General features: G+C 39.5%; 2 pseudogenes, besides 6 other annotated features; both read left to right on the top strand.

The window, feature by feature from the left end:
* On the top strand, nucleotides 5,922-6,852 carry PDCL3P3 (PDCL3 pseudogene 3; annotated as a pseudogene).
* Nucleotides 6,447-6,741: a silencer, noted in NCBI's record as "tiled region #5433; HepG2 Repressive non-DNase unmatched - State 13:Ctcf, and K562 Repressive DNase matched - State 12:CtcfO". NCBI's record gives its function as "represses a minimal TATA promoter and a strong SV40 promoter by Sharpr-MPRA in HepG2 and K562 cells {active_cell/tissue: HepG2 | K562}" and the evidence as "EXISTENCE:reporter gene assay evidence [ECO:0000049][PMID:27701403]".
* Nucleotides 11,417-12,701, top strand: PP1P (pyrophosphatase (inorganic) 1 pseudogene; annotated as a pseudogene).
* Nucleotides 22,352-23,081: an enhancer, noted in NCBI's record as "OCT4-NANOG-H3K27ac-H3K4me1 hESC enhancer chr3:17902529-17903258 (GRCh37/hg19 assembly coordinates)". NCBI's record gives its function as "activates a minimal SCP1, AML or CMV promoter by ChIP-STARR-seq in primed H9 embryonic stem cells {active_cell/tissue: H9 hESC(primed)}" and the evidence as "EXISTENCE:reporter gene assay evidence [ECO:0000049][PMID:30033119]".
* Nucleotides 22,352-23,812: a biological region, named in NCBI's record as "OCT4-NANOG-H3K27ac-H3K4me1 hESC enhancers GRCh37_chr3:17901798-17902528 and GRCh37_chr3:17902529-17903258".
* Nucleotides 22,698-22,747: an enhancer, noted in NCBI's record as "active region_19574". NCBI's record gives its function as "activates an Ori minimal core promoter by ATAC-STARR-seq in GM12878 lymphoblastoid cells {active_cell/tissue: GM12878}" and the evidence as "EXISTENCE:reporter gene assay evidence [ECO:0000049][PMID:35858748]".
* Nucleotides 22,907-23,201: an enhancer, noted in NCBI's record as "tiled region #9685; HepG2 Activating non-DNase unmatched - State 24:Quies, and K562 Activating DNase unmatched - State 18:Pol2". NCBI's record gives its function as "activates a minimal TATA promoter and a strong SV40 promoter by Sharpr-MPRA in HepG2 and K562 cells {active_cell/tissue: HepG2 | K562}" and the evidence as "EXISTENCE:reporter gene assay evidence [ECO:0000049][PMID:27701403]".
* Nucleotides 23,082-23,812: an enhancer, noted in NCBI's record as "OCT4-NANOG-H3K27ac-H3K4me1 hESC enhancer chr3:17901798-17902528 (GRCh37/hg19 assembly coordinates)". NCBI's record gives its function as "activates a minimal SCP1, AML or CMV promoter by ChIP-STARR-seq in primed H9 embryonic stem cells {active_cell/tissue: H9 hESC(primed)}" and the evidence as "EXISTENCE:reporter gene assay evidence [ECO:0000049][PMID:30033119]".

Here is a 27,513-nt window from a genome sequence, read left to right as displayed (position 1 = left end):
CTTCCTTCTTACTGATGTTGCTGACAACAATGCGCATTGACCTCTGTTATTAAAAAAAAAAACAAATAAAATTTTGTAATCTAACCATATTCCCTGCAGATTCAGAGAACACATCGAATTATTCATCTCCTTATCAATAAAGTATTTGTCTGTCCCAAGCAGAACTTCTGTCAGTGAAGTCTCATCTGTATTGTTCTTGACTAGACATCAGGATTCACTCGAGTTTGCAGTCACTCTTTTCAGAAAGTTCAGATTGAAAAATAAGTAAATAAATAAATCATAAATTTAAAGTTTGGAGGATTGTTTTTGTTTTTAGGGTCTAAGGGGAGCTTTCGAATAATTACATAAACCAAAAATGTTTTTAAAATAACATTTTCTACGTCTTTTCTTTTTTTTTAGCTGAGAAAAGTCCTAATTATTCGTTCCCCTTTAACACGTCTTTGCAAAAATATCCGAACTAATTTCTTGCAATAAGCACAGCTAAACTCATGGTTCTTTTCAGGTTTTTTTTTCTCTTGCTAAAAATTTTCTTAAATGTGGAATAATATTATTGTCCTCAACTGTAACACGATCTATTTCTCTGGTGTCTTTTAAGCTGTTTATCATTTGCTTCTCTATTTCAGATGGAATTAATCTTCTAAAAACAGATTACGCTCTAAGATGTTTTACAGCTAAAAGCTCCATCAAGACTTTTTCACAACTTGTTAATGGAACAAAAAGCAACCAGGTAACTGCATTCCAGGTGCTGTAATAAATGCTTACCACTGCATTCGTTGAAGCCATCAGTGTTGTTTCACAGACATCTAGGAAGCCTTTTTGTTTCATATATCATTGAAATATTCAGGACCTTTTGTATGAGCCAGAGATATTCTTAGAGTGTTTAGCATCAATAACAATGAAAACTGGCATGACAACATCTTAAGCAATCTAAAATATTATATGGGAGTTCCTGCCTCCCTTTCATTGTAGGGCTACTAAAAATAAATTCATTTCATCATCCCTCAACCAACACACACACACACACACAACCACCACACACACTAATTGCCACCGCTTAGGCAATTTATTACTTTTAGGGCTAAATTCTGCCTTTTTCTTTGACAGAGATACTATAACTAGATTTAACACATAATGAAAATTTTAAATTTCAATTGACTTATACCCAGTGGATCTAAAACATAAATTAATTGAACATATTATGCATTATGTGTGACTTCAACTCAGAATATTTTACAAGGGAAGATCCTGCTCAGCGACAGCTTCTTATTGGCAAAATAGATAAGTTCCTATCAAAGGAAATGAACTTGGCCTTAGTGAGACTCATTTCTTTACTTCAAGTTGATCAGGCCAAGACTCTTGAAATCATCCATAAGTTCTCTCTTTCTTTCACACCAACAGCCCTAGTTTAATGTAACCAGAATCCATTGTCTCCCTATCTCAACAGCCGCCATCTGATCCTAGAGTCTTCAAGCTGGTCTCCCACCTTTCCCCTTTACTCCTCCATAAACTATCCTCTACCAAAAGCCAGAATGTTCCTTTAAAAACAGAAGTCAGAGCCGGATGCAGTGGCTCACGCCTGTAATCCTGGCACTCTGGGAGGCCGAGGTGGGTGGACTGCTTAAGGTCAGGAGTTTCGGGCCAGCCTGATCAACATGGTAAAACTCCATCTCTTGTAAAAATACAAAAATTAGCCCATCATGGGTGGCAGGTGCCTGTAATCCCAGTTATTCAGGAGGCTGAGGCAGGAGAATCGCTTGAACCTGGGAGGCAGAGGTTGCAGTGAACTGAGATCACCCCACTGCACTCCAGCCTCAGTGACAAAAAGAGAGAGACTCCATCAAAAAAAAAAAAAAAAGTCATACCATGTCATTCTTCTGCTTCAACATCTCCAGTGGCTTCCACCTCACTATGAATAAAAAGCCAAAGACCTTATCATGGCCCAGAAAGCCCTTCATGGGCTAGGACCCCATTGCCTTTCTGACCTCATCTTCTATCACCCTTTCCCTAACTGATTCCAATCTAGCCACACTAGCTTTCTTTCTGCTCCTCAAATACTCTATGATACCACCTCCTATTCTTTCCTCACGCTCTTTGCACTTGAGATACCCTCTGCCAAGAATAAATTTCTGCCAGATATCCATCTGGTTGGCCTTCTCACTTACTTCAGAACTCTGCTCAAGTAGCACCTTATCCGAGAGGTCTGACCACCATAGAAAAGAGTTCATATAACAGATCCAATTTATGTGCCTCCTCAGATTCATTTGTCCTACCTGTTCCCAGACATCAGCCATTTGCCCTACTTCCTAGATGGAGTAGCTCCACCAAATGCAATTAAAGCTCTGCAATTCTTGTGATCAAACCCCTGGTTGACACCTTCATCTGCTCATCTCTTAGCTCTGCTGGCTGAGTCGGCTTTCCCCGTGCAGAGAGAGTCAGCCCTCTATAGCTCCTGAGTCCAGGTCCAAACCAACTTGGCCCATGAAGGTTCCGGCCTCCCCAGTAGCTTCCCAGAGAGACCAGATAACAAAAACCAGAAGTGGAACATCGTGTTAGGGAAGCTTTGATCAGTGAGAAACAAAAGGTGGGAAGAAAGCAACATAAACTTCTCTCCTTTCCTCCCTCCAGCAGACAGTTTTAAAGCATAAAGCTCCATATAGCCTCTCTGGAAATGTCCTTAGTGACCAAGCAGCCAACTATTCCTTCTGGGGCTGTGACCAAATGCGCCACCTTTTATTTGCTTCTCTGATTTCACTGCTTTATGTTCCCTTTTCCCCTACCTTTGCTGCCCTGGAACCACATCTCCTAAGATTTTTTAGGACATAAGGTGTATCTCAGGCTCTGTGTTTTAGGGAATCTAAGATATGCTTACACCCGCACACACACAATCGGGCTATACTCAAAACCCTGATCCTGCTTTATTTCTCTTCTCTGTTTATTACTTATCTTTGTGTCTATTGCCACCAGTAGAATGTAAACTCCATGACAGCAGAGACTATTTCTTTTGCTCACTGCTGTTTTCCAATGCCTGTAATGGTGACTTGCACATAGTGGGCATTTAATAAATATGGGTTTAGGGTCAGGCACGGTGGCTCACACCAGTAATCCCAGCACCTTGAGAAGCAGAGGCAGGGGGCTTGCTAGAGGCCAGAAGTTTGAGACCAGCCTGAGAAACATAGCGAGACCTCATCTCTACCAAAAAAAATATTTTTAATTAGCTGGGCAGAGTGGCATGCACCTGTAGTCTTAGTTACTCAGGAGGCTGAGATGGGAGGATCACTTGAGCCCGGGAGTTCGAGGTTGTAGTGAGCTATGATCATGTGACTGCACTCTAGCCTTGGTGACAGAGGGAGACCCTGTCTCTAAATATGTGTGTGTGTGTGTGTGTGTGTGTGTGTGTTTAGACAATGAATAAATGAGAATTTTGTTTGCCTGTGTGGAATTATGCACCATTTTACATTCAAAAAAAAGAAACTTAAGGAGTTCAGGTTTTTATTCATGATCTACTTTTTTATGTCAATGTTTCCACATGGAATATTTCCTGATCTTCTCACTCTCCTAAATTTCACCTAACTTCATTGGTTATCTCTCAACTCAAAGTTCAACTCCTCTTAAAACCCACTTTCCCTAATTAGGCTCCCTAGTAACGTAAGTATTTCCTTCCATACCAGTCATTTTTTTTCAATCCCCCTAGATAGTGCACATACACCCTTAAGAGTATACTTTATGCATTTTACCCATTCTCACAGAACTGCATAATATCCTAAAATAGATTCAGAATGTTTTAGCCCTTTCTCTACCACACACCTCCTCAGAGATACACACAAGGCTGTTCCATCCCACATCCAAACCCCTCTTCCTAATCCGGTCAATAATAAGTACTAATTGCTGAGCACATACAATATGCCAGACAATGTGGTAGGCATTTGATCCTCACAAAAACCCTGAAAATTATAAAATACCTTAAAACTCACTCATATTAAAGTGTTTGGGTCTTACTATATTCTCCTCTGAGTTATTAGACTGGATGAAGCTGACTTAGTCAACAGAAATGAATCAGTCTGGCACAACTTTATTCATCAAGGAGCAAGTGATTCCATGGGAAAAGCAAGCCTACCTCTTCCTCATACTCCTCAGTTTACAGTCCTGCCCAAATCAGTAATCCATGGCTTTGTAACTCTCCTGGAATGGCTTCATGAGAATACATCCTGTCTCTTTATGTAATTTAAAGCTCCTTGAGATCAGACATGTATTTTATTTCTTGGTTGTTTCTGGAAAACTGTATTGTTTATTGAATCTATTTACTACCCAATCTATTTACTACCCCTAGTATAAACTCTTGATCAAACACACTATAAGATAAAATCAGTAATAAGAAATTGGCCTTAAAAATTCAAAATTATCTAGAAGACCATTTAAAATATGGATTTAGATATATTTTCATTAACAGTTTCATCCTATGTGTATATTGCATCTTGACATATTGGTTAATGATTATAGTATGCATATACAGAACTGTGCTTTAAAATAATGGTAATGATAACATGAACCAATCACAATTAACAAACTACTTCAAAAATAAGAAAAAAGAGAAATAATATACTCTAAAACATAGACACAAGCCTGTGCAATTTTTCAAAGATGTTTAAATTAAGTAAAACTCAACCCTTTACTTTAAAAGCTTTCACTAAACATGTAAAGTTTCCTTTTTTTTTTTTTTTTTTTTTTTTCAGACAAAATCTCGCTCTTGTCCTCCAGGCTGGAGTGCAATGGCGCGATCTCGGCTGACTGCAACCTCCGCCTCCCAGGTTCAAGCAATTCTGCCTCAGCCTCCTGAGTAGCTGGGATTACAGGCACCTGCCACCACGCCCGGCTAATTTTTGTGTTTTTTTAAGTAGAGACGGGGTTTCACCATGTTGGCCAGGCTGGTCTCAAACTTCTGACCTCAGGTGATCTGCCCACCTCAGCCTCCCAAAGTGCTGGGATTACAGGCATGAGCCACTGCGCCCAACCGTAAAGTTTCCTTTTAACAGTGAAAATCAAAAGGCTACATTTTATTATGAAATTCTAATTTTTTGCTTTGGTGAATGTTAAAATAATACATTCAAAATAATTTGGTACAAACTAAAATGGACACCTTTGTCAACAAATACAGGATTTTTTAACCAGTTTAAAATCTTTCAAACAAGGAAGTTCAGTGGAATTGGAATCCATTTTCATAAGATTTATAGAAACCATTCCTGAGATTTTATTTTTAATCAAGAATTTGGACAAATTCTACTGTTTTACAAAGTTTGTTATGTAATTTGAATGGGTCCAAATATTTCTTTTTTACCAAGTCTCAGCATATGATTTTCACTAGGTTGTGTTTCAATAATAAAATGTATGAAGAACTGTACTTTTTTCAAACCGCCAAAGGTAAAATATGCAGATAAGATGTATTCCCAGGAGTAAATAACTTCTTTAACAGTAAAGCTGTGTAAGTAACAGAGCGACTCCCTTGACCAAAATTTTAAAAGGATTTGGCTAAGTTTCCTGAAACAGATCACATGTGACATCCTGCTATATACAGGCAACCATTTGCAGCTAAGGAATTGAAGCCAGAAGTGCACAAAATACTGCAAGATGTCATCAGTTTAGTTAATTTTATGTTTTAAAAAACTTTAAAATATAGTTAATTTAATTGTTTAAAATAAATTGAGAGAATAAATTAACCTCTCAATTTATATTTACTTATGGATGTATTTTCTACAGCACAGAGGTTTGCTTGTGGCAAAGTATTAAAACTTAGAACTAAAAACATATATTTACAAAATAGACAAGTGTTCCAAATATGCTAACCTTGTCTGTGATGATAAGGGGGCTATCCATAGCATGCATGCTACCTCTCAAGTATTTTTTTAATATTAATAAACATGGTGGAGCAACTGGCTTGAGCGATTGGAAACAAGATGCAGGACCCCAACGCAGACACTGAGTGGAATGACATCTTACCAAAAAGGGTATCTTGCCCTCCAAGGAAAGTCTGAAAGAATTGGAAAATGAGGTGGAAGAGGAGAAGCGCATCCTCCAGCAGTCAGTGGTGACAACATATAAAGATAGGGCTTTGAAAGAGCTGGAAGATCATGAAGATGAGTTTAATGAGGAGGACGAACGTGCTATTGAAATGTACACACGGCAGAGACTAGTTGAGTGGAAAGCATCTAAACTGAAGAATACATTTGGAGAAGTTTTGGAGATCTCAGGGAAGGATTATGTTCAAGAAGCTACCAAAGCCGGTGAGGGTTTCTGGGTCATCTTGCACCTTTACCAACAAGGAATTCCCCTCAGTGCCCTGATAAACTAGCACCTCAGCAGACTTGCCAGGAAGTTTCCTGATGTCAAATTTATCAAAGCCATTTCAACAACCTGCATACCCAATTATCCTGATAGGAATCTGCCCACAATATTTGTTTTCTTGGAAGGAGATATCAAGGCTCAGTTTATCGGTCCTCTGGTGTCTGGTGGCATGCACCTGACAAGAGATAAGTTGGAGCGGAAACTGTCTGAATCTGGAGCAATTAAGATGGACCTGGAGGAAAACCCTAAGAAGCCGATTGAACACATGTTGCTGTCCTCAGTGCGGCGCTCTGTCCCCATGGGGAGGGACTGCAATTCTGAGGGTGACTGAGGCTGCAGCTGCTATCACATGCTGAACTGTCCTGTAACAAATTGTCTGGATTTTTAAAAAAAAGGAAAAAGCAAGAATGAATCCTTCTGGTTTTTAGCTTTGTATAAATTATGTTTCAAATCTTTACATTTTAGAAATAATCATTGCTGGAACTGTTAACATTTTTTGGAACTCTTTTTTTTTTTTTTTTTGAGACGGAGTCTCGCTCTGTCGCCCAGGCTGGAGTGCAGTGGCGGGATCTCGGCTCACTGCAAGCTCCGCCTCCCGGGTTCACGCCATTCTCCTGCCTCAGCCTCCCAAGTAGCTGGGACTACAGGCGCCCGCCACTACGCCCGGCTAATTTTTTGTATTTTTAGTAGAGACGGGGTTTCACCGTTTTAGCCGGGATGGTCTCGATCTCCTGACCTCGTGATCCGCCCGCCTCGGCCTCCCAAAGTGCTGGGATTACAGGCGTGAGCCACCGCGCCCGGCCTGGAACTCTTTTAATTATAGTATTTCCTCTAAAAAATTAAAAACAGCTATTGGTATGGCAAGAATAAAAAATAAAAAAAACTTATCCCTTCAAGGTGAAAGTTAATGTTTCAATAATGAACTAGAAATTTTTTTTTTTTTTTTTTTTTTTTTTTTTTGAGACGGAGTCTCGCTCTGTCGCCCAGGCTGGAGTGCAGTGGCGCGATCTCGGCTCACTGCAAACTCCGTCTCCCGGGTTCACGCCATTCTCCTGCCTCAGCCTCCCGAGTAGCTGGGAATACAGATGTGATTTAGATGCAAAAACAAGATAAATGCAATCATCATCAATTTTTTTAAATCTCCTATTAGTACATTCTAAAAAGTTGGAAGCAAGATTTTTAAACCAGTTTAAAATTATTCTAAACAAAAAATTTCAGTGGAATTTGAACGCATTTTGATAACAATAAAACAACAGTAATATTGCCTAATTGTCTGTAAGAACTACTGATTGACATCAAAGAAGATGGAAATCTACTAGCCAAATTTTAACATAAGCATTTTCAAATTTGGTGAATGGGAATTACTTAAAACAGCCAGTAAGGAAATTCTTCCATTTGGATTTATGCGTCTTTGTGAGACATGTTTTTTAGTTGCAAAAACCATTACAACAAAGTGCTGAAAAGCTGAATTGAGAAACACATTTGAATGTTTTAACAAAAGCCAAAGAATTTTTTTAACAAAAGTTTGTAAAATAGTGATGCATACTCAAATATAATTATAATTTTAGTGAGAGCAAAAACTTCTGTACTATTAATAATTTAAATAAAAATAAAGCTATGATTACCATTAGCGTAGCTTTTTTTTTTTTTTTTTTTTTGAGACTGAGTCTCACTCTGTCACCAGGCTGGAGTGCAGTGGCACGATCTCGGCTCACTGCAACCTCCGCCTCCCAGGTTCCAGCAATTCTCCTGCCTCAGCCTCTCGAGTAGCTGAGATTACAGGTGCATGACACCACACCCAGCTAATTTTTGTATTTTCAGTAGAGACAGGGTTTCACCGTGGTGGCCAGGATGGTCTCGATCTCTTGATCTCATGATCGGCCCGCCTCGGCCTCCCAAAGTGCTGGGATTATAGGCATGAACCACCACACCCAGCCAGCTCAGCCTTTAGGGTTATAATTGGTATAGGTTTTATGATATACATAATAGATATTGACATGGTAGTTTGTCTATAACTTACAAATGAGTAAAAATACAGTGAGGATACACACTCAAAATTCTTCTACTAATGGGACATGCAAACAAAACTTTTGGAAGGCAGTGCTATTTGTGATGTATTTTGTGAACCCACAGCATCAGTGTAACATGTGACATTGTTGGAAATGCAAATTCTGGGGCTTCACCCTAAACCTACTGAATCAGAATCTCTGGGAGAGGGGGACAGGAATATGGGTTTTAACAAGATCTCAAAGTGATTATCTAAGGCATGATACAGATCAAATCAAAACACTCCTCTTTAAAAGCTGCCTGCTGCTTATGAAATTGAAGCAGCCTTCTCACCATATCATTTAAAGGCTTTCCAAATACAGCCAAGCCTCCCTTAATACAGCCAAGCCTCCCTTAATGGCCTGTGTCCATGACTCCTCACCACGTTGGAAGCCCCAGGTATTCTTGGGTGCACCCTTCTCTTCTCTCCTCTTCTTCACCTGGAATTTCTCCCCAGTACAATTACGTCTGCTTAACCAAAACCTTTACAATATTTGATGCCTACCTCAAAAGTTACCTATTCTAAGAAAACTTGCAGAATCTTAGTGAAAAAAAAAACCTATGTATTTTTCCCCCATTCTTTTTTATAATGCCCATGGCATCTTTTTTGTTCATTTCTCCCTGGACTGTATTGCATCATGCATTATAACCATTTGCGTACTTATCTAATTCCTTCTAAAGATTGTAGGCTCCTAGAGAGAGACTTGCTTAATCTTTCTTTATACCCTAGCTTAGCACGGGCCTGGAAGGCTGTAATTGCTAGATACAGAATTGAAATAAAATTCCACAACTGAGCTCAGCCCACACTGTCTTCTTCCTTTATCATTCTATTGGGGACACTACCTCATCATGAAGAACCTGAATTTCTTGAGAACTTTCCACATACTTGGGTCACTCACTGGCTTTCTCTTCCCCTCAGATTGCATTTCTGAGTTGCACAATCTCTTCTGATCACTTAGTCATGATTGCAATTTAAACACTGAAAGCAAATGATGATTTAAAAAAAAAAAGCTTGCCATGTTTGAGGTCTTACCAGAGCCAGATACTGTACAAAGTGCTTTAGATGATTATCTCATTCAGTCCTGACAAAACCTCTATTTGATGGACATATTACCACTCCCATTTTACCAGATGAGGAAACTGAGGTGCAGAAAGGGCTACTAGAGTAGTAAGGCCAGGATTGGAATCCAGGCTGGCTGACTACAGAACCTGCAAAATCAACCTCTCCATTACCCTGCTAAGAATAGAAGATACTACTCCACAGCCATCCTTATATTAAATCCAATCCCTAGCCCTCCTAACCACATGAAAAAGCACATGCATTAGAGTCAATCTTGATGACAATATAAAAACTATGATTTTACTATGTAAATTCAATTTAAATCTAGATCAAAGAAATCTAAATTACTCTTCATTTAGGCTGTAATCTTATATTCCAAAGCTTAAAGCTTATAAGAAAGCTTTATCTAATTTAAGATTACTAGCTCAAATATAAGTACAGACTTAATACTACTTTTCCTCTAATCAGTACAAAGAGTTCTATTCTTCCCATAGTAAAATATGTCATAGAACTTGAACTACTAGGCAATCACTATCTTTTCTTTATAAGAAAAAAAAGCTTTTGAAATATGTACCATAACCTCTGAAAAATACAATTATCCTCCCAAAGAAATTAGGCATTTTTTTCTGACAAAAACTATGGGCAATTGATCTATAGTTCTTTTCTTCCTCAAAAAATTATTGTATATTGTGTAATGATCATTATAATTAAAAATTAAGATGGCTTGCAATAATTCCACCATTATTTGATTCAAAATCTTTATAAAATATTGGCATTTTCCAACATTTATTTTTCCTGTCTATGTTCCATTTAAGGCCAAATTTTCAAACCCAGCTGCCAAATTACACATATAATTACTGCATTTGCGCACAAAAATGTGATAATTGCTTACACAATTTCAGAGGCCAGCTTGAGGCTCCTTTCCAAATTTGTTTTACATGTACAGTGCGGTGTATGTAGTTTTATATGAAAATTGGAAAAGTAAAATTCATGATTTGTCTGGGTGATGTGTGAAAATGGATACAAAATAAAGCCTTTCTATAAATGCCTGGGCCTGTCTTCATATTTTCTCCCAATAGACCTTTACAAAAGTCTTATAGAGCAGCTCAAACTTCAGCTAGTGTTGGAGCAATGGCAATGAAAGGGGATGATGCCTGGTATAATGCCTTAAATAGTTCAGGTGCCCATTTTGTTGATCGACATATTGTCATGAGGCATTCTTCTGTCTATAAACTGCTCCCATCAACCTGGGCAAGAAAGATAAAGGTAATATAAGGCCCGCAATCATACAGTCAGCCAAGATGACGCCAGCCTCAATAGGGCAGAGTAGTTGAGCACTGGTGGCTGGGGATTTACCCTTCCAACTTTGCCTGACAGTTGATTTTACAGCTTGGCAAGCATGCACTATGGATATAGATCACAGTGGGTATTCCTAGTGGAAGCTTTGGTTCAAGAAAAGGCAAAGAAACAAGACCTAGCTAGTCATACGCATTAGTGAGATGATCTAAGATATTTGTGTTTCAAAACAAAAGTGGGTGGAAAATTATGGCCAGTTGCACATGAACCAATACCTATCCTCAAAAGATCTACTTTCCAAACTCAAGGATTATGAATCTGATCTCTATTACCAAATATCTGACTACAGAACTGACCAGAAGCAATTAGGTCAGAAGCCTATTAAATACTGAAGGAAGTTCTATTTGAGAAATCTCCAGCTATTTTCCATAGAGGTTATACTAATCTACATTCCCACCAACAGTGTAGAAGTATTCCCTTTTCTCAAATAACTAACAACCCCCCTCAACAACCCCCCTACTGGGCATCTACCCAAAGGAAGAGAAATTGTTATATCAAAAAAAAAAACCTTCATTCTTATGTTTATTGTAGCACTATTCACAATAGCAAAGTCATGGCATCAACCTATGTATCCATCAACAGATGATTGGATTTAAAAAAAAAAAAAAGGTGCTATAGAGTGCTTGCAGCGCGCAGGCGCAGGGCTCTCTCCTTTTGTCAGTCGGCAACGCCTGCGGGGCCAGTGGCTCTGTGACAGCGGCGGTGGCTGGACTCTGGCGCAATGAGCGGCTTCAGCACCGAAGTGCACACCACACCCTTCTCCCTGTAGTACCGAGTCTTCCTCAAAAATGAGAAAGGACAATATATATCTCCATTTCATAATATTCCAATTTATGCAGATAAGGATGTGTTCCACGTGGTGGTTGGAAGTACCACGCTGTCTAATGCAAAAATGGAGATTGCTACAAAGGACCCTTTAAACCCCATTAAACAAGATGTGAAAAAAGAAAAACTTCGTTATGTTGCGAATTTGTTCCCGTATAAAGGATATATCTGGAACTATGGTGCCATCCCTCAGACTTGGAAAGACCCAGGGCACAATGATGAACATACTGGCTGTTGTGGTGACAGTGACCCAATTGATGTGTGTGAAATTGGAAGCAAGGTATGTGCAAGAGGTGAAATAATTGGCATGAAAGTTCTAGGCATATTGGCTATGATTGACAAAGGGGAAACTAACTGGAAAGTCATTGCCATCAATGTAGATGATCCTGATGCAGCCAATTGTAATGATATCAATGATGTCAAACAGCTGAAACCTGGCTACTTAGAAGCTACTGTGGACTGGGTTAGAAGGTATAAGGTTCCTGATGGAAAACTAGAAATGAGTTTGCTTTTAATGCAGAATTTAAAGATAAGGACTTTGCCATTGATACTATTAAAACCACTCATGACCATTGGAAAGCATTAGTGACTAAGAAAATGAATGTAAAAGGAATCAGTTGCATGAATACAACTGTGTCCAAGAGCCCCTTCAAGTGTGATCCTGATGCTGCCAGAGCCATTGTGGATGCTTTACCACCACCCTGTGAATCTGCCTGCACGGTACCAACAGATGTGGATAAGTGGTTCCATTACCAGAAAAACTTAATGAGATTTCTCTGGAATACAAGCTGATATTGCTGCATCGTATTCATCTGGATGGGAAAAGTAGTAGCTTTTCAAAGCTTTAAATTTGTAGAACTCATCTAACTAAAGTAAATTCTGCTGTGACCAATCCAATATACTCAGAATGTTATCTGTTTAAAGCATTTTTCAAATCTCAACTAAGATAACTTTGAGCACATGCTTAAATATCAAAGCAGTTGTCTTTTGGAAGTCATTTGTGAATAGATGTGCAAGGTGAGCACACATTGGATGTATATGTTACCATAAGTTAGGAAATAAAATTATTTTGCTGGAAAAAAAAAGTGGCATATATACATCATGGAATATTATGCATCCATAAAAAAGAATAAAATAATGTCTTTTGCAGCAACATGGATGGAGCTGGAGACCATTATCCTAAGTGAAATAACTCAGAAACAGAAAATCAAGTACCACATGTTCTCACTTATAAGTACCTCTGTAAACAGAGGGTACACATGGGCACAAAGATGGAAATAATAGACACTGGTGAATCCAAAAGAGGGGAGACTGGGAGGAGGGTGATGGTTGAAAAATTACCTATTTGATATAATGTTCACTGTTCAGGTAATGGCCACACTAGAAGCCCAAACCCTACCATATGCAATACGTCCATGCAACAAACATGCACATGTACCCTCTGAATCTCTGAAAACAAAAAATAATTGAGGGACATTCTTCTGCCAAAGGCACCCCGAAAGTATCATATTATCCTCCTCAATGGCTAGTTGAAATAATCATAACTAACATTTCCTGAGCACTCAATATATGTTAAATAATGTTCTAAGAATTTTGCATGCATTCATTTCCTCTTTGCATGCTTACTAATTTTAAGAGGTAAGTACTATTATTGTCTTTGTTTTACATCTGAGGAGACTGAAGCACAAAGAGTTTAAGAAACTTGTTGAATGTCATACAATTAAAAAGTCCCAAATCCAGTATTAGAACCCAGGCATACAATTAAAAAGTAGCAAATCCAGTATTAGAACCCAAGTATACAATTAAAAAGTAGCAAATCCAGCCGGGCATGGTGGCTTACGCCTGTAATCCCAGCACTTTGGGAGGCCAAGGCGAGTGGATCACTTGAGGTCAGGAGTTTGAGACCAGCCTGGCCAATACGGTGAAATCCCGTCTCTACTAAAAATACAAAACTCAGCTGGACATAGTGGCACGTGCCTGTAATCTCAGCTGCTCCGGAGGCTGAGGCAGGGGAATCACATGAACCTGGGAGGCAGAGGCTACAGTGAACCGAGTGTGTGCCAGTGCACTCCAGCCTGGGTGACAGAGTGAGACTCCGTCTCAAAAAAAAAAAAAAAAAAAAAAAGGTAGCAAATCCAGCATTAGAACCCAGGCATTCTGACTGCAAAGCCTTTACTCTTAACCCTAATAGCATACTGCCTCCCAGATGGAGCCAAGGAAAAGAGTGGGCAAAGTATAGCTTCCTAAATAGAAGACCTTGAGCAGCCAGCATGACCATCCAAAGAATTCACTACTGGAATCTAGTCCCCATTACTTCTGTCCAGCAGGAATGATACTGTCATAGACTAATGGCCACTGTGGGTTGTTTCCCACTCTTCTCTTTTCCAAATGGGATTCTTTTTTTAATTAAAGTTATCCTGTTCTTTCTTCATCAGTTTATATGGATTGTGTTATAGATGGATAACATATTATTAACGAAAGTCCCTAGACTATGAGACGTTTCAGCCAGACATGAAGGAGAGGATCCCACATCACCCAGAGAATCAAAAGGAACTTGGAGCTAACATACTAAATCTTGAGTTGTTTCTAGTAGGAAAACATAGATGTTTCTGAGAGTATGGACAGGAAGAAGGATTTGTATGGGTACTGGACAGCCAGTACCCATTGGTAAATTGGTAATTTATCCAGCAACCTATTCCCCCTTTCTAAAAATATCTACCTCTTTCTCAGATGGTTCATTGGCTTTGGGCACCTGAACCTCATGGCCAGTCCAAGAAATGAATGAGTCCTGATTAGTATGCGAATCAGAATAATCTTACCTTATCCTCACATCGACCTTGACATGACAACTAGCTTAAGAATGGTCAGTAACCCAATCCTACACCAATCAGTACATAGTACCTATTCACCATGATTGGTTCAGTTTAGTCCAAACAATGCAATGAACAAGGATTTTGTTCACTGGTTGGGGGAAAAGGTACCACAAAATCAGTCATGGAATGAAGCTGGACCTGGGTAGTAGAGTGCAAGAAGAAAAAAATACTAAAACTCAGTCCTTGGTGATATCACTGAACTAGATCAACCAATAGTGAAACTCTTCCAACTCCTGGACTTCTGAGCCAGTAAGTCTCCTTTTCTACTTAAGCCAGTCTGAGTTTTGCTTTCTGTTAATTAATGGGTCCCTGAGTTCAGCAGAGGGTCTCAGGGGCTGAAACCAGACTCTTGAGGGAGCTCCAGCCTCTTCCTAGAGGTGAATGTCTCTGGAGATGGAGCAATGGAGCACTCCTACAAGTGCTAGAGAAACTATAAACTAAATTTAGTTTCTGCTATAGAAAGGAATTTCTCCTGCTGAGATGAAGTAGCATCATTGGAGTGACATTCAAAGGAACAAGCAGCAAAGCTAGAACAGTAAGAAACAAATCCCTTTTTCCTCCTCCAACCTTGGAGTCACCCTGAAGTGCCTCCTGTTAGCAAAGCTTAACTGGGATCAGCTTGCAAAGCAGAAGTGTGGTTTGTAGAGTCCCAATTCTACCATCACAAAGCAGGGGGCAGATTTGGAGCTTAGAGATAATAACTTAAATACTATCACAGAGCAGTTCATTTTTACTGTGTGGAGGAGGAACGCATAGTCAGACTGTCAGAGAAGAGAAAAATAAAAATAATCCAGTTCCTACATCTCCCATGCTTCTTACACCACCACCTATAAAAGCTTTTTGAACACTGTGAAGTATCATTTAAGGAAAGGTGCTACGGTTATTATTTCTTCTGGGTGACAGATTTGAATAGTTCTTCCCTAACAGCTTGGGTGTGAAGAGCTGACCTGTTGACATCTCAGCAGCCATATTTGTATATGAACTCTTACTTGCCAGAAATATCATAGTATTTCTGTTCCGACAGAAATGTGAGAATGCTTTTTCATCAAGAAACATCCTAGGCATTGTGATTTTTCTCCATAGATATTTATGGAGCCATCATTTGAACATCTCTATTTTCTCAGGGTGCTGAAGGAGAAAATGTTGATTATAGAATATTCTGAAAATCACCCAGTGTGTATAAAGCTAATAAAAAGACATATTGTGGTCATGGTAGGAGTTTCAAAGAGGTAATAATTGTGGCTTCACTGTGCCTATGTGTTTGGCAGTCTTTCTTTTGTATAAAATGTCCGTTCGTTCCATTGTCCACATCTCTGTTGACTGAGTTAGGACAGATTTAATAAGAAAATTTATATTCTTATGCCAATTTTGGCAGCTCTAATGACATAAAAGTCTTTCTGATGTTTTTCCTAGGGCAGTCAAAAGCAGTGGTCAACCAGAAACAGCGTTTAGAAACTTTCTTTAACTGCCAGATTGGAAGATCGCCTTAGACCAGTGCTTTAAACTCCAGTATTTCTAAATGAGATCTAAAGGATAGGTATATCCTTTAGGATATAACTTGATGGCTTATTCTGGAAAACTTCTTCAGGATAATTGGGGATGTGCAAATCAGAGGGGAAAAGTGACAATCATCTTAGCCTCTCACAAGCCTAGAAGTGACATAAAAGGGAGAAAGAAAAAGAAAGAGGCAAACCTATTTCTAGATCTAAGGGTTAACCTAAACCTCTCCCCAAAAAGGAGAGATAATTTAAAGTGGTAAATGCAACTCAGTCACTAAGCAAAGTCATATCACATCCATTCAATGTCCTCCTACACATGTGTAGTTCACAGAATGGAAACATATAATAAACGCCTGAGAATTTAAAATGCTTACTTCACAACTATTGCCCAAGTGGCCCATGTTTGGTTGAGAGGTCATTAAACAGGGAGTAATAATTAAAAGTGTGGGCTCTTGGACTGAGTTGCATAAATGCAAAACTGGGTGTTTCTTATTAATAAACTCTATGATATTGGGTAAATTATTCAACTGTTTGTGCCTCAGTTTCTAATTTGTAAAATGGGAGGATAATATGCCTACCTCAAATTGATTGGGAAAAATAGAATGCCACAAAAATACAGTGGCTTAAAGATGATACAAGTTTTTTTCTCATGTGGCAGCCCCCAGTGGATCCAGTAGTGGAGAGGTTCTGCTCTACTCATCCATTCACACACCCATGTGCCCTCCATCTTGTTACTCTACCCTCCCCTAGGTCATTGTCCTCATCTTCTTTGTGGAGGTTGGGTCATAGAATTCCAGCTCAAAGGAATGGAAATAGAACACTGGCCCAGGACAAAGGGATTTTCTTTTAAGGAGGTGACCTATAGTTGCACTCACCATTTACACTCACATATTGGCCCTAACATGTTCATGTGCTTCAAAGGAAGCTGGGAAATATAGTGGCTAGTTGGAAGGCCATGTGTCCAGCTCTATTGTTTTGAGAAAAGGGAGAAATGGATTTTAATAGGCAAGGAGAGTCTGTCATCCTACCTCATAAGGTTGCTGTGAAGTAAATGAGATAATGCACTTAGAAGAACTGAGACATTTAGTGACTGTTCTATAATAGCTAAATATTGGTATTGCCAGGTTAACAAGCTCCTCTTTCTCCTTGTTTCAGGTACAATTCCCTTTTTAATGTTAGCCATTTGACTTTCTTTGGCCAATGAAATGTTCATGGCAGTGACGAGTATCGTTTCTAGACAGAAGGATTAATAGTCGGTATGCCATTCACCCTGTTTTTGTGTTTGTTTTTGTTTTTGTTTTGTTTTGCTTTCCCCTGCCATGGTAATCATGGAAGCACTTGTCAGCCTGGATCCCTGAGTAAATATGATGAGAAGGGCCACCTGAAAACTCACAGATATGTAACATGAACAAGAAGTCACTGAGATTCTAAGATTGTTTGTTACTGCAGTGTAACCTAGCTCATCTTGACTAATACATGAGGGCCCTGGGACATCTGTCAGAGAAGGAATTTTAGAAGGCTCCTTCACCTTAGAGTTTTGGAATGTCAATTAATATCATTAAAAGTAAACATGAAAACTGGCTGATAAGCTTATGCATCCCTTAGCTATTGTGAAATCATAACTGATTAAACTGAGATACCATAGGTGTTAATGACTATGTATGCAAGACAAACCAATCTACGTGGGCTTGATATTATACTATAGAAACACGTTCATTGATTGCAAAGGTCTTCCTTCCAAGACTGCATCTGAAAGCAAACTGACATTTAGAATCTTCTGATTCACCTCCCCTGAAATAGAGAAGATTGCCATCTGGCCACAGCTGTGAAAATGCCAACCTCAAGGGATAGGTCCTGAATGGAAATTCAGGCCCTGTGAAATTTTTTCATTTCCTTAAATTTAGATTTTAGTATTTCTTCCAGATGAATCCAATATTAGCAATTCAAAGAATATCATGTAGCTGTTAAAGGTTGTATTCACCTGCAAGAACCTAGAGAGCAGATAGTGTAAGTAGCTTGTTAGGATGATAGACATAAAACCATTGCAGCTATTACTTATGATCGTTTACCACATTAATTAGCAAAGTATTAAGTGTTCTACCCACATAACCTCATTTAATCTTCACATCAGTCTTTTTAAGGCAGATACTACTAGTAGTCCCACTTTACAATTGAGGAAACATGAACTTAGAAAAGTTACATAGACATTTATTTTCTTGCTCATGTTACATGCCCATGGGTTATGTAAAATGACTAAAGTCAGCAGTCCATGAAAGACGTAATTGGAATGTGAACTCAAGCATATGACTCCAAAGCCCGTTTGTTGAGCCAATAAGCTGTACCTCCAAGTGAACATAACAAGTGTTAGAACTGAGATTCGTACAAAGATCTGTGGGAGCAAAGAAACAGCAAAGTACATAGATTAATCAAGGAAGGATTCATTGAGAGTTAGATTCCTATTTGATAGGAATTGGCCACATAGAAAAGGGGGGAGAACATTCTAGCAAAAGAAAAAAGTTGTACTTCTCCTAAACAGCTGATTTATTATTAGTATTATAGTCACTGTGACTCTTAAAACTAACCAAATTTCCACCTTTACATTGGCTGCCAGGGAACTCACAGTCACATTTATAATACTTCTTCAGCAACTATATGGAACCTAATGATGTAAGCATTTGTATAGTGACCAAACCTTTATCAGAATTCCACACCCACTTTTTCTCTTTACCCAATTTTTTTTATCTTTTTATGTTTTATCCTATATTATTATAAATCTTTTATAAGTATCCTCAGATTCAGATTTTTTTGGAACAATGAGGCATATATATAAATAAATTCATTAATAAGAAAAATAAATGTTTTTCTTTTTCTAACGTCTTCCTCAGATTCATTTTGTAACCATAAAGCAAAAACATAAATAAATAAATAAATAAATAAATAAATAAATACAGACAGACAGACAGTGCTTTTCCCATAACAAGGCCATGAATTCCTAAAATATAGAGCATCCATGTATCAGGCTAGCAAAACTTCAAAATTTAATAATACCCTCTGTTGGTAAGGCTATGGGGAAATAGGCAATCTCATATAGTGCTGGTAGAAATGTAAGTTAATAAACTTATGGAAAGCAATTTGGTAATAGCTATCAAAATTAAAAATTCATAAGACCACTGACCTGGCATTTTCTCATCTAGATATTTATCCTAGAGATACACTGGTACCCATACAAAATGACTATGTACAAAGTTAATCTCTTCAGCCTCATATCTAATAACAAGAGACTATGAAGCAAAATTAACATCCAATAAAGGAATGGTTAAATAAATTACTTTTTTCAGTTCTCAAATGTTTTTAGATCTTTGAAATGCTCATGGTATATAGACACTGGCCTACAATGTACAACGATCAAATTGGCCCTAACAGAGCCAATAAGCTCAATCTTCATTCCATTTTACCACAGTGCCTTATTATACTGCTAGGTCACTTTCTGCTGCATATAAGGAAAGAAAATAACTTGCCAGTAAATAAATATCTGCATTGTTTTCATTCATTCAATGCATTCATTCATTATCTATCAAATACTTACAGCACCTACTCTGTGCCAAGTACTCTAGTAGGCATTTTTTAGGTCAGAGATCCAATATGCATATATTTACAGACCACAGGGATTACTGACTGGTAAGAAATGAATTAGAAAATTCATGCAGAGTCAGAGCAAGATGGCCAAATAGAAGCCTCTACCGATTGTCCCCCTCGCAAGAACACCAAATTTAACAACTATCTACACATCATAAGATGTGCAGCACCATCATAAGAATCAAAAACCAGTTGAGCAATCACAGCACCTGGTTTTAACTTGACATCACTGAAAGAGACACTGAAGATGGTAGGAAAAATAATCCTGTATTACCAACAACACCACTCCCCCATCTCCCAGTAGCAGCCGCACGGCATAGAGAATCTTTGTACTTGTGGGAGGGAGAGCACAGTGACTGTGGGACTTTGCAATAGAACTCAGTTCTGCCCAGTCACAGCAGAAAGCAACACCAGGCAGAACTCTGCAGACACCTACAGAGGGACCATTTAGGCTAGCCCTAGCCAGAAGAGAATCGTCCATCCCAGTGGTCAAAACTTAGGTTTTGGCAAGCCTCGCCACGACAGGCTAAATGGCTCTGGGGTTCTAAATAAACTTGAAGTCTAGGCCACAAGGACTGCAACTCCTAGGGAGGTCCTAGTGCTGTGCTAGGCTTGGAGTCAGTGGACTTAGGGGGCACATAACCTAGTGAAACACCAGGTGAGGCAGCCAAGAGAGTGCTTGTGCCACCTTTTCTCCAGCCTCAGGTAGTGTAGCTGGCAGCTCCAAAAGATTTTTTCTTCTGCTCAAGGAAAGGAAAGGGAAGAGTAGAGAAGATTTTGTCTTTCAACTTGGATACAAGCTCAGTCACAGTAGGATAGGACATCAGGCAGAGTCCTGAGGCACCCATTCCAGGCCCTCGCTCCCAGATGACATTTCTAGACATACCCTAGGCAAGAAGGGAACCTGCTGCTTTGAAGGGAAGGACCTAGTCCTGGCAAGATCCATTACCTGCTGACTAAAGAGTCAGCAGTGGTAGCCAGGTGGTACTCACCATGGGCCTTGGATGAGACTCAGAGATGTGCTGGCTTCAGGTGTGACCCAGCACATTCCCAGTGTGGTGGCTACAGAAAGAGACACCTGCTGGAGAAAAGCAAAGAGAAGAGTAAAGGGGACCTTGTCTTGCAGCTTAGGTGCCAGCTCAGCCACAGTGGGATAGAGTGTCAAGTGGGCTCTTGGGGTCCCTGATTCCATGCCTTGGCTCTTGGATTGTATTTCTACACCTGCCTTGGGCCAGAGGGGAGCCCACTACCCTGAAGAGTGAGTCTGTTAGGCCTGAAAGCATTTACAACAAGCTGACCAAAGAGCCCTTGGGCCCTAAGTGATATTCAGTGGTAGCCTGGCAATACTCCCCACAGACTTGTAGTGGGGGTGGCCATAAGGAAAGACTCCCCACTGCTAATGGAAAGCAAGGGCAAGAGTGGGAAGGACTTCATCTTAGGACATGGGTGCCAGCTCAGCTGCATTAGAATAGAGCACCTGGTAGATTCTTAAGGTTTCCAACTCCAGGCCCTAGGTCCCAGACAGCATTTCTGGGCCCACCTGGGGCCAGGGGGAACTTTCTACCCTGAAGGGAAGGACACAAGACTGTCTGGCTTTGCCACCTGCTGATTGTAGAGACCCAGGACCTTGAGCAAACATAAGCAGTAGCCATATAGTGGCTACAACGGCCTTTAGTGAGATCCAGTGCTATGTTGGCTTCAGGTCTGACCTAGCAGAGTTGCAGTGGTGGTGGCCACAGGGGTGCTTGTGTCACCCCTCCCCCTAGCTCCAAGAAGCTCAGCACAGAAAGAGAGACTCTGGTTATTTGGGAAAAACTTAGGGAAGAGAATAAGAGTCTCTGCCTAGTAATCCAGAGAATTCTTCTGGATCTTATCCAAGATCACCAAGGTGGTGCCTCTACAAGACTGCAACAAATACAGCATTACTGGACTTGGGGAGTCCCCTAATGAGGATATGGCTGCAGTGACCAAAAAGATCACAACACCAAACTCCCTTCAAATACCTGGAAAGCCTTCCTAACAAGGATGGGTACAAACAAGCCCAGACTGTGAAGACTACCATAAATATCTAACTCTTCAATGCCCAGACACAGATGAACATCCACAAGCATCAAGATCATCTAGGAAAATATAACCTCACAAAATGAACTAAATAAGTCACCAGGGAACAATCTATAGAGACAGAGACATGTGACCTTTCAGATAATTCAAAAAAGATGTTTTGAGGAAACAAATTCAAGATGACCCGGAGAAGGAATGCAGAATTCTATCAGATAAATTTAACAAAGAGATTGAAATAATTAAAAAGAATAAATCAGAAATTCTGGAGTTAAAAATGCAATTGACATCTTGAAGAATGCATCAGTCTCTTAATAGCAGAATTGATCAAGCAGAAAAAAAATTAGTGAGCTTGAATACAAGCTATTTGAAAATACACAGACAGAGGAGAGAAGAGAAAATAAAAAAAATAAAAAAACAATGAAGCATGCCCACAAACTCTAGAAAAGAGCCTCAAAAGGGCAAATCTAACAGATACTGGCCTTAAAGAGGAGGGAGAGAGAGATACGGGAAGAAAGTTTATCCAAAGGGATAAAAACAAAGAACTTTCCAAACCTAGAGAAAGATATCAATAGCCAAGTAAAAGAAAGTTATAGAACACCAAACAGATTTAGCCCAAAGAAAACCACCTCAAGGTATTTAATAATCGATCTCCCAAAGGTCAAAGATAAAGAAAGGATCCTAAAAGCAGGCAGAGAAAAAAAAAACAACATACAATGGAGCTTTAATACGTCTGGCAGCAGACTTTTTAATAGAAACCATACAGGCCAGGAGAGAGTGGTATGACATATTTAAAGTGCTGAAGATAAATAATTTTACCCTACAATAGTATATTGGGTGAAAATATCCTTCAAACATGAAAGGGAAATACAGACTTTCCCAGACAAACAAAGGCTGAGGGATTTCAACAACACCAAACCTGTCCCACAAGAAATACTAAAGAGAGTTCTTTAATCTAAAAAAAAAAAAAAAAAAAAAAAGGATTTTATTGAGCAATAAGAAATTATCTAAAGGTAGAAAACTCACTGGTATTTTTTGGAGGAGCCAAGATGGCCGAATAGGAACAGCTCCGGTCTACAGCTCCCAGCGTGAGCGACGCAGAAGACGGGTGATTTCTGGATTTGCATCTGAGGTACCGGGTTCATCTCACTAGGGAGTGCCAGACAGTGGGCGCAGGTCAGTGGGTGCGCGCACCGTGCGCGAGCCGAAGCAGGGCAAGGCATTGCCTCACTTGGGAAGCGCAAGGGGTCAGGGAGTTCCCTTTCCGAGTCAAAGAAAAGGGTGACGGACACACCTGGAAAATCGGGTCACTCCCACCCGAATACTGCGCTTTTCCGGCGGGCTTAAAAAACGGCGCACCACGAGATTATATCCGTCACCTGGCTCGGAGAGTCCTACGCCCACGGAGTCTCGCTGATTGCTAGCACAGCAGCCTGAGATCAAACTGCAAGGCGGCAGCGAGGCTGGGGGAGGGGCGCCCGCCATTGCCCAGGCTTGATTAGGTAAACAAAGCAGCCGGGAAGCTCCAACTGGGCCCAGCCCACCACAGCTCAAGGAGGCCTGCCTGCCTCTGTAGGCTCCACCTCTGGGGGCAGGGCACAGACAAACAAAAAGACAGCAGTAACCTCTGCAGACTTAAATGTCCCTGTCTGACAGCTTTGAAGAGAGCAGTGGTTCTCCCAGCACGCAGCTGGAGATCTGAGAACTGGCAGACTGCCTCCTCAAGTGGGTCCCTGACCCCTGACCCCCGAGCAGCCTAACTGGGAGGCACCCCCCAGCAGGGGCACACTGACACCTCACACGGCAGGGTACTCCAACAGACCTGCAGCTGAGGGTCCTGTCTGTTAGAAGGAAAACTAACAACCAGAAAGGACATCTACACCGAAAACCCATCTGTACATCACCATCATCAAAGACCAAAAGTAGATAAAACCACAAAGATGGGGAAAAAACAGAACAGAAAAACGGGAAACTCTAAAACGCAGAGCGCCTCTCCTCCTCCAAAGGAACGCAGTTCCTCACCAGCAACGGAACAAAGCTGGATGGAGAATGACTTTGACGAGCTGAGAGAAGGAGGCTTCAGACGATCAAATTACTCTGAGCTACAGGAGGACATTCAAACCAAAGGCAAAGAAGTTGAAAACTTTGAAAAAAATTTAGAAGAATGTATAACTAGAATAACCAATACAGAGAAGTGCTTAAAGGAGCAGATGGAGCTGAAAACCAAGGCTCGAGAACTACGTGAAGAATGCAGAAGCCTCAGGAGCCGATGCGATCAACTGGAAGAAAGGGTATCAGCAACGGAAGATGAAATGAATGAAATGAAGCGAGAAGGGAAGTTTAGAGAAAAAAGAATATAAAGAAATGAGCAAAGCCTCCAAGAAATATGGGACTATGTGAAAAGACCAAATCTACGTCTGATTGGTGTACCTGAAAGTGATGGGGAGAATGGAACCAAGTTGGAAAACACTCTGCAGGATATTATCCAGGAGAACTTCCCCAATCTAGCAAGGCAGGCCAACGTTCAGATTCGGGAAATACAGAGAACGCCACAAAGATACTCCTCGAGAAGATCAACACCAAGACACATAATTGTCAGATTCACCAAAGTTGAAATGAAGGAAAAAATGTTAAGGGCAGCCAGAGAGAAAGGTCGGGTTACCCTCAAAGTGAAGCCCATCAGACTAACAGCGGATCTCTCGGCAGAAACTCTACAAGCCAGAAGAGAGTGGGGACCAATATTCAACATTCTTAAAGAAAAGAATTTTCAACCCAGAATTTCATATCCAGCCAAACTAAGCTTCATAAGTGAAGGAGAAATAAAATACTTTACAGACAAGCAAATGCTGAAAGATTTTGTCACCACCAGGCCTGCCCTAAAAGAGCTCCTGAAGGAAGCGCTAAACATGGAAAGGAACAACCGGTACCAGCCGCTGCAAAATCATGCCAAAATGTAAAGACCATCGAGACTAGGAAGAAACTGCATCAACTAACGAGCAAAATAACCAGCTAACATCATAATGTCAGGTTCAAATTCACACATAACAATATTAACTTTAAATGTAAATGGACTAAATGCTCCAATTAAAAGACACAGACTGGCAAATTGGATAAAGAGTCAAGACCCATCAGTGTGCTATATTCAGGAAACCCATCTCACGTGCAGAGACACACATAGGCTCAAAATAAAAGGATGGAGGAAGATCTACCAAGCAAATGGAAAACAAAAAAAGGCAGGGGTTGCAATCCTAGTCTCTGATAAAACAGACTTTAAACCAACAAAGATCAAAAGAGACAAAGAAGGCCATTACATAATGGTAAAGGGATCAATTCAACAAGAAGAGCTAACTATCCTAAATATATATGCACCCAATACAGGAGCACCAAGATTCATAAAGCCAGTCCTGAGTGACCTACAAAGAGACTTAGACTCCCACACATTAATAATGGGAGACTTTAACACCCCACTGTCAACATTAGACAGATCAACGAGACAGAAAGTCAACAAGGATACCCAGGAATTGAACTCAGCTCTGCACCAAGCGGACCTAATAGACATCTACAGAACTCTCCACCCCAAATCAACAGAATATACATTTTTTTCAGCACCACACCACACCTATTCCAAAATTGACCACATACTTGGAAGTAAAGCTCTCCTCAGCAAATGTAAAAGAACAGAGATTATAACAAACTATCTCTCAGACCACAGTGCAATCAAACTAGAACTCAGGATTAAGAATCTCACTCAAAACCACTCAACTACATGGAAACTGAACAACCTGCTCCTGAATGACTACTGGGTACATAACGAAATGAAGACAGAAATAAAGATGTTCTTTGAAACCAACGAGAACAAAGACACAACATACCAGAATCTCTGGGACACATTCAAAGCAGTGTGTAGAGGGAAATTTATAGCACTAAATGCCCACAAGAGAAAGCAGGAAAGATCTAAAATTGACACCCTAACATCACAATTAAAAGAACTAGAAAAGCAAGAGCAAACACATTCAAAAGCTAGCAGAAGGCAAGAAATAATTAAAATCAGAGCAGAACTGTAGGAAATAGAGACACAAAAAACCCTTCAAAAAATTAATGAATCCAGGAGCTGGTTTTTTGAAAGGATCAACAAAATTGATAGACCGTAGTAATGCTGTGTTTGTTGCAGTCTTGTAGAGATCACATGGACACAGGAAGGGGAATATCACACTCTGGGGACTGTGGTGGGGTTGGGGGAGGGGGGGGAGGGATAGCACTGGGAGATATACCTAATGCTAAATGACAAGTTAGTGGGTGCGCACCAGCATGGCACATGTATACATATGTAACTAACCTGCACAATGTGCACATGTACCCTAAAACTTAAAGTATAATAAAAAAAAAAAAAGAAAACTCACTGGTAATAGTAAGTATACAGAAAAACACAGAATAGTATAACACTGTAATTGTGGTGTAAAAACTACATATAGGTAGAATAGAAAGACTAAAAGATGAACTGATAAAAATTAAAGAAATTAAAACATACAACCAGAGACAATCACCTTCCCCAAAAGGAAGACAGGAGGGAAAGAAGGAAGAGGAGACTACAAAACAACCAGAAAACAAATAACAAAAGGGCAAGAGTAAGTCCTTACTTATCAATAATAACATTGAATATAAATGAACTAAACTCTCCAAAGGACATAGAGTACCTAAATGAATTTTTAAAACACTGCGTGATCTGTTTCCGACAAGAAATACATTTCACCTATAAAGACACACATAGGCTGAAAATAAAGGGATGGAAAATAATATTTCATGCAAATGGAAACCAAAAATGAGCAGGAGTAGCTATAGAGTAGCTATACTTATATCATACTAAATAGATTTCAAGACAAAAACTATAAAAACAGGCAAAGAAGGTAATAATGATAAACTGGTCAATTCAGCAAGAAGATATAATGATTGTAAATATATATTCATCCAACACTGGAGCACCCAGATAGATAAAGCAAATATTATTAGAGTTAAAAAGAGAGATATGCCCAAATACAGTAATAGCTGGAGACTTCAACACCCCACTTTCAGCATTGGACAGACATCCCAGACAGAAAAATCAACAAAGAAACATCAGTCTTAATCTGCACTATTGACCAAATGGACCTAATAGATATTTACAGAATATTTCATCCAACTGCTGCAGAATACACATTCTTCTCCTCAGCAAATGGATTGTTCTCAAGTATAGACCATATGTTAGGCCACAAAGCAAGTCTTAAAACACTCAAAAATTTGAAATAATATCAAGTATCTTCTCTGACCACATGGAATAAAAATGGAAATCAATAATAGGAGGAATTTTGAAAACTATACAAATACATAGAAATTAAATAATATGCTCCTGAATGACCAGTGGGTCAATGAAGAAATTAAAAAAGAAAATTGAAAAATTTCTTGAAACAAATATTAATGGAAATACAATGTATCGAAACCTGTGGGATATAGCAAAAGGACTACTAAGAGGAGAGTTTATAACTATTAAGTGTCTACATCAAAAAAAGTGTAAAACTTCAAATAAACAACCTAATAATGCATCTTAAAGAATTAGAAGAGCAAGAGAAAAATCAAACATCAGTAGAAGAAGATAAATAATAGAGATCAGAGCAGAAATACATGAAATTGAAATGAAGAAAATACAAAAGATCAATGAAATGAAAAGTTGGTTATTTGAAAAGAAAAATAAAATTGACAAATCTTTAGCCAGAATAACTAAGAAAAAAAGAGAGAAGACCCAAATAAATTAAGATCAGAAATGAAAAAGGAGACATTACAGTTGATATTG

This window comes from Homo sapiens, chromosome 3, assembly GCF_000001405.40.
Source record: "Homo sapiens chromosome 3, GRCh38.p14 Primary Assembly".
Lineage (NCBI taxonomy): Eukaryota > Metazoa > Chordata > Mammalia > Primates > Hominidae > Homo > Homo sapiens.
The sequence above is the reverse complement of the archived record's forward strand: the minus strand, read 5'-3'. Positions and strand labels throughout refer to the sequence as shown.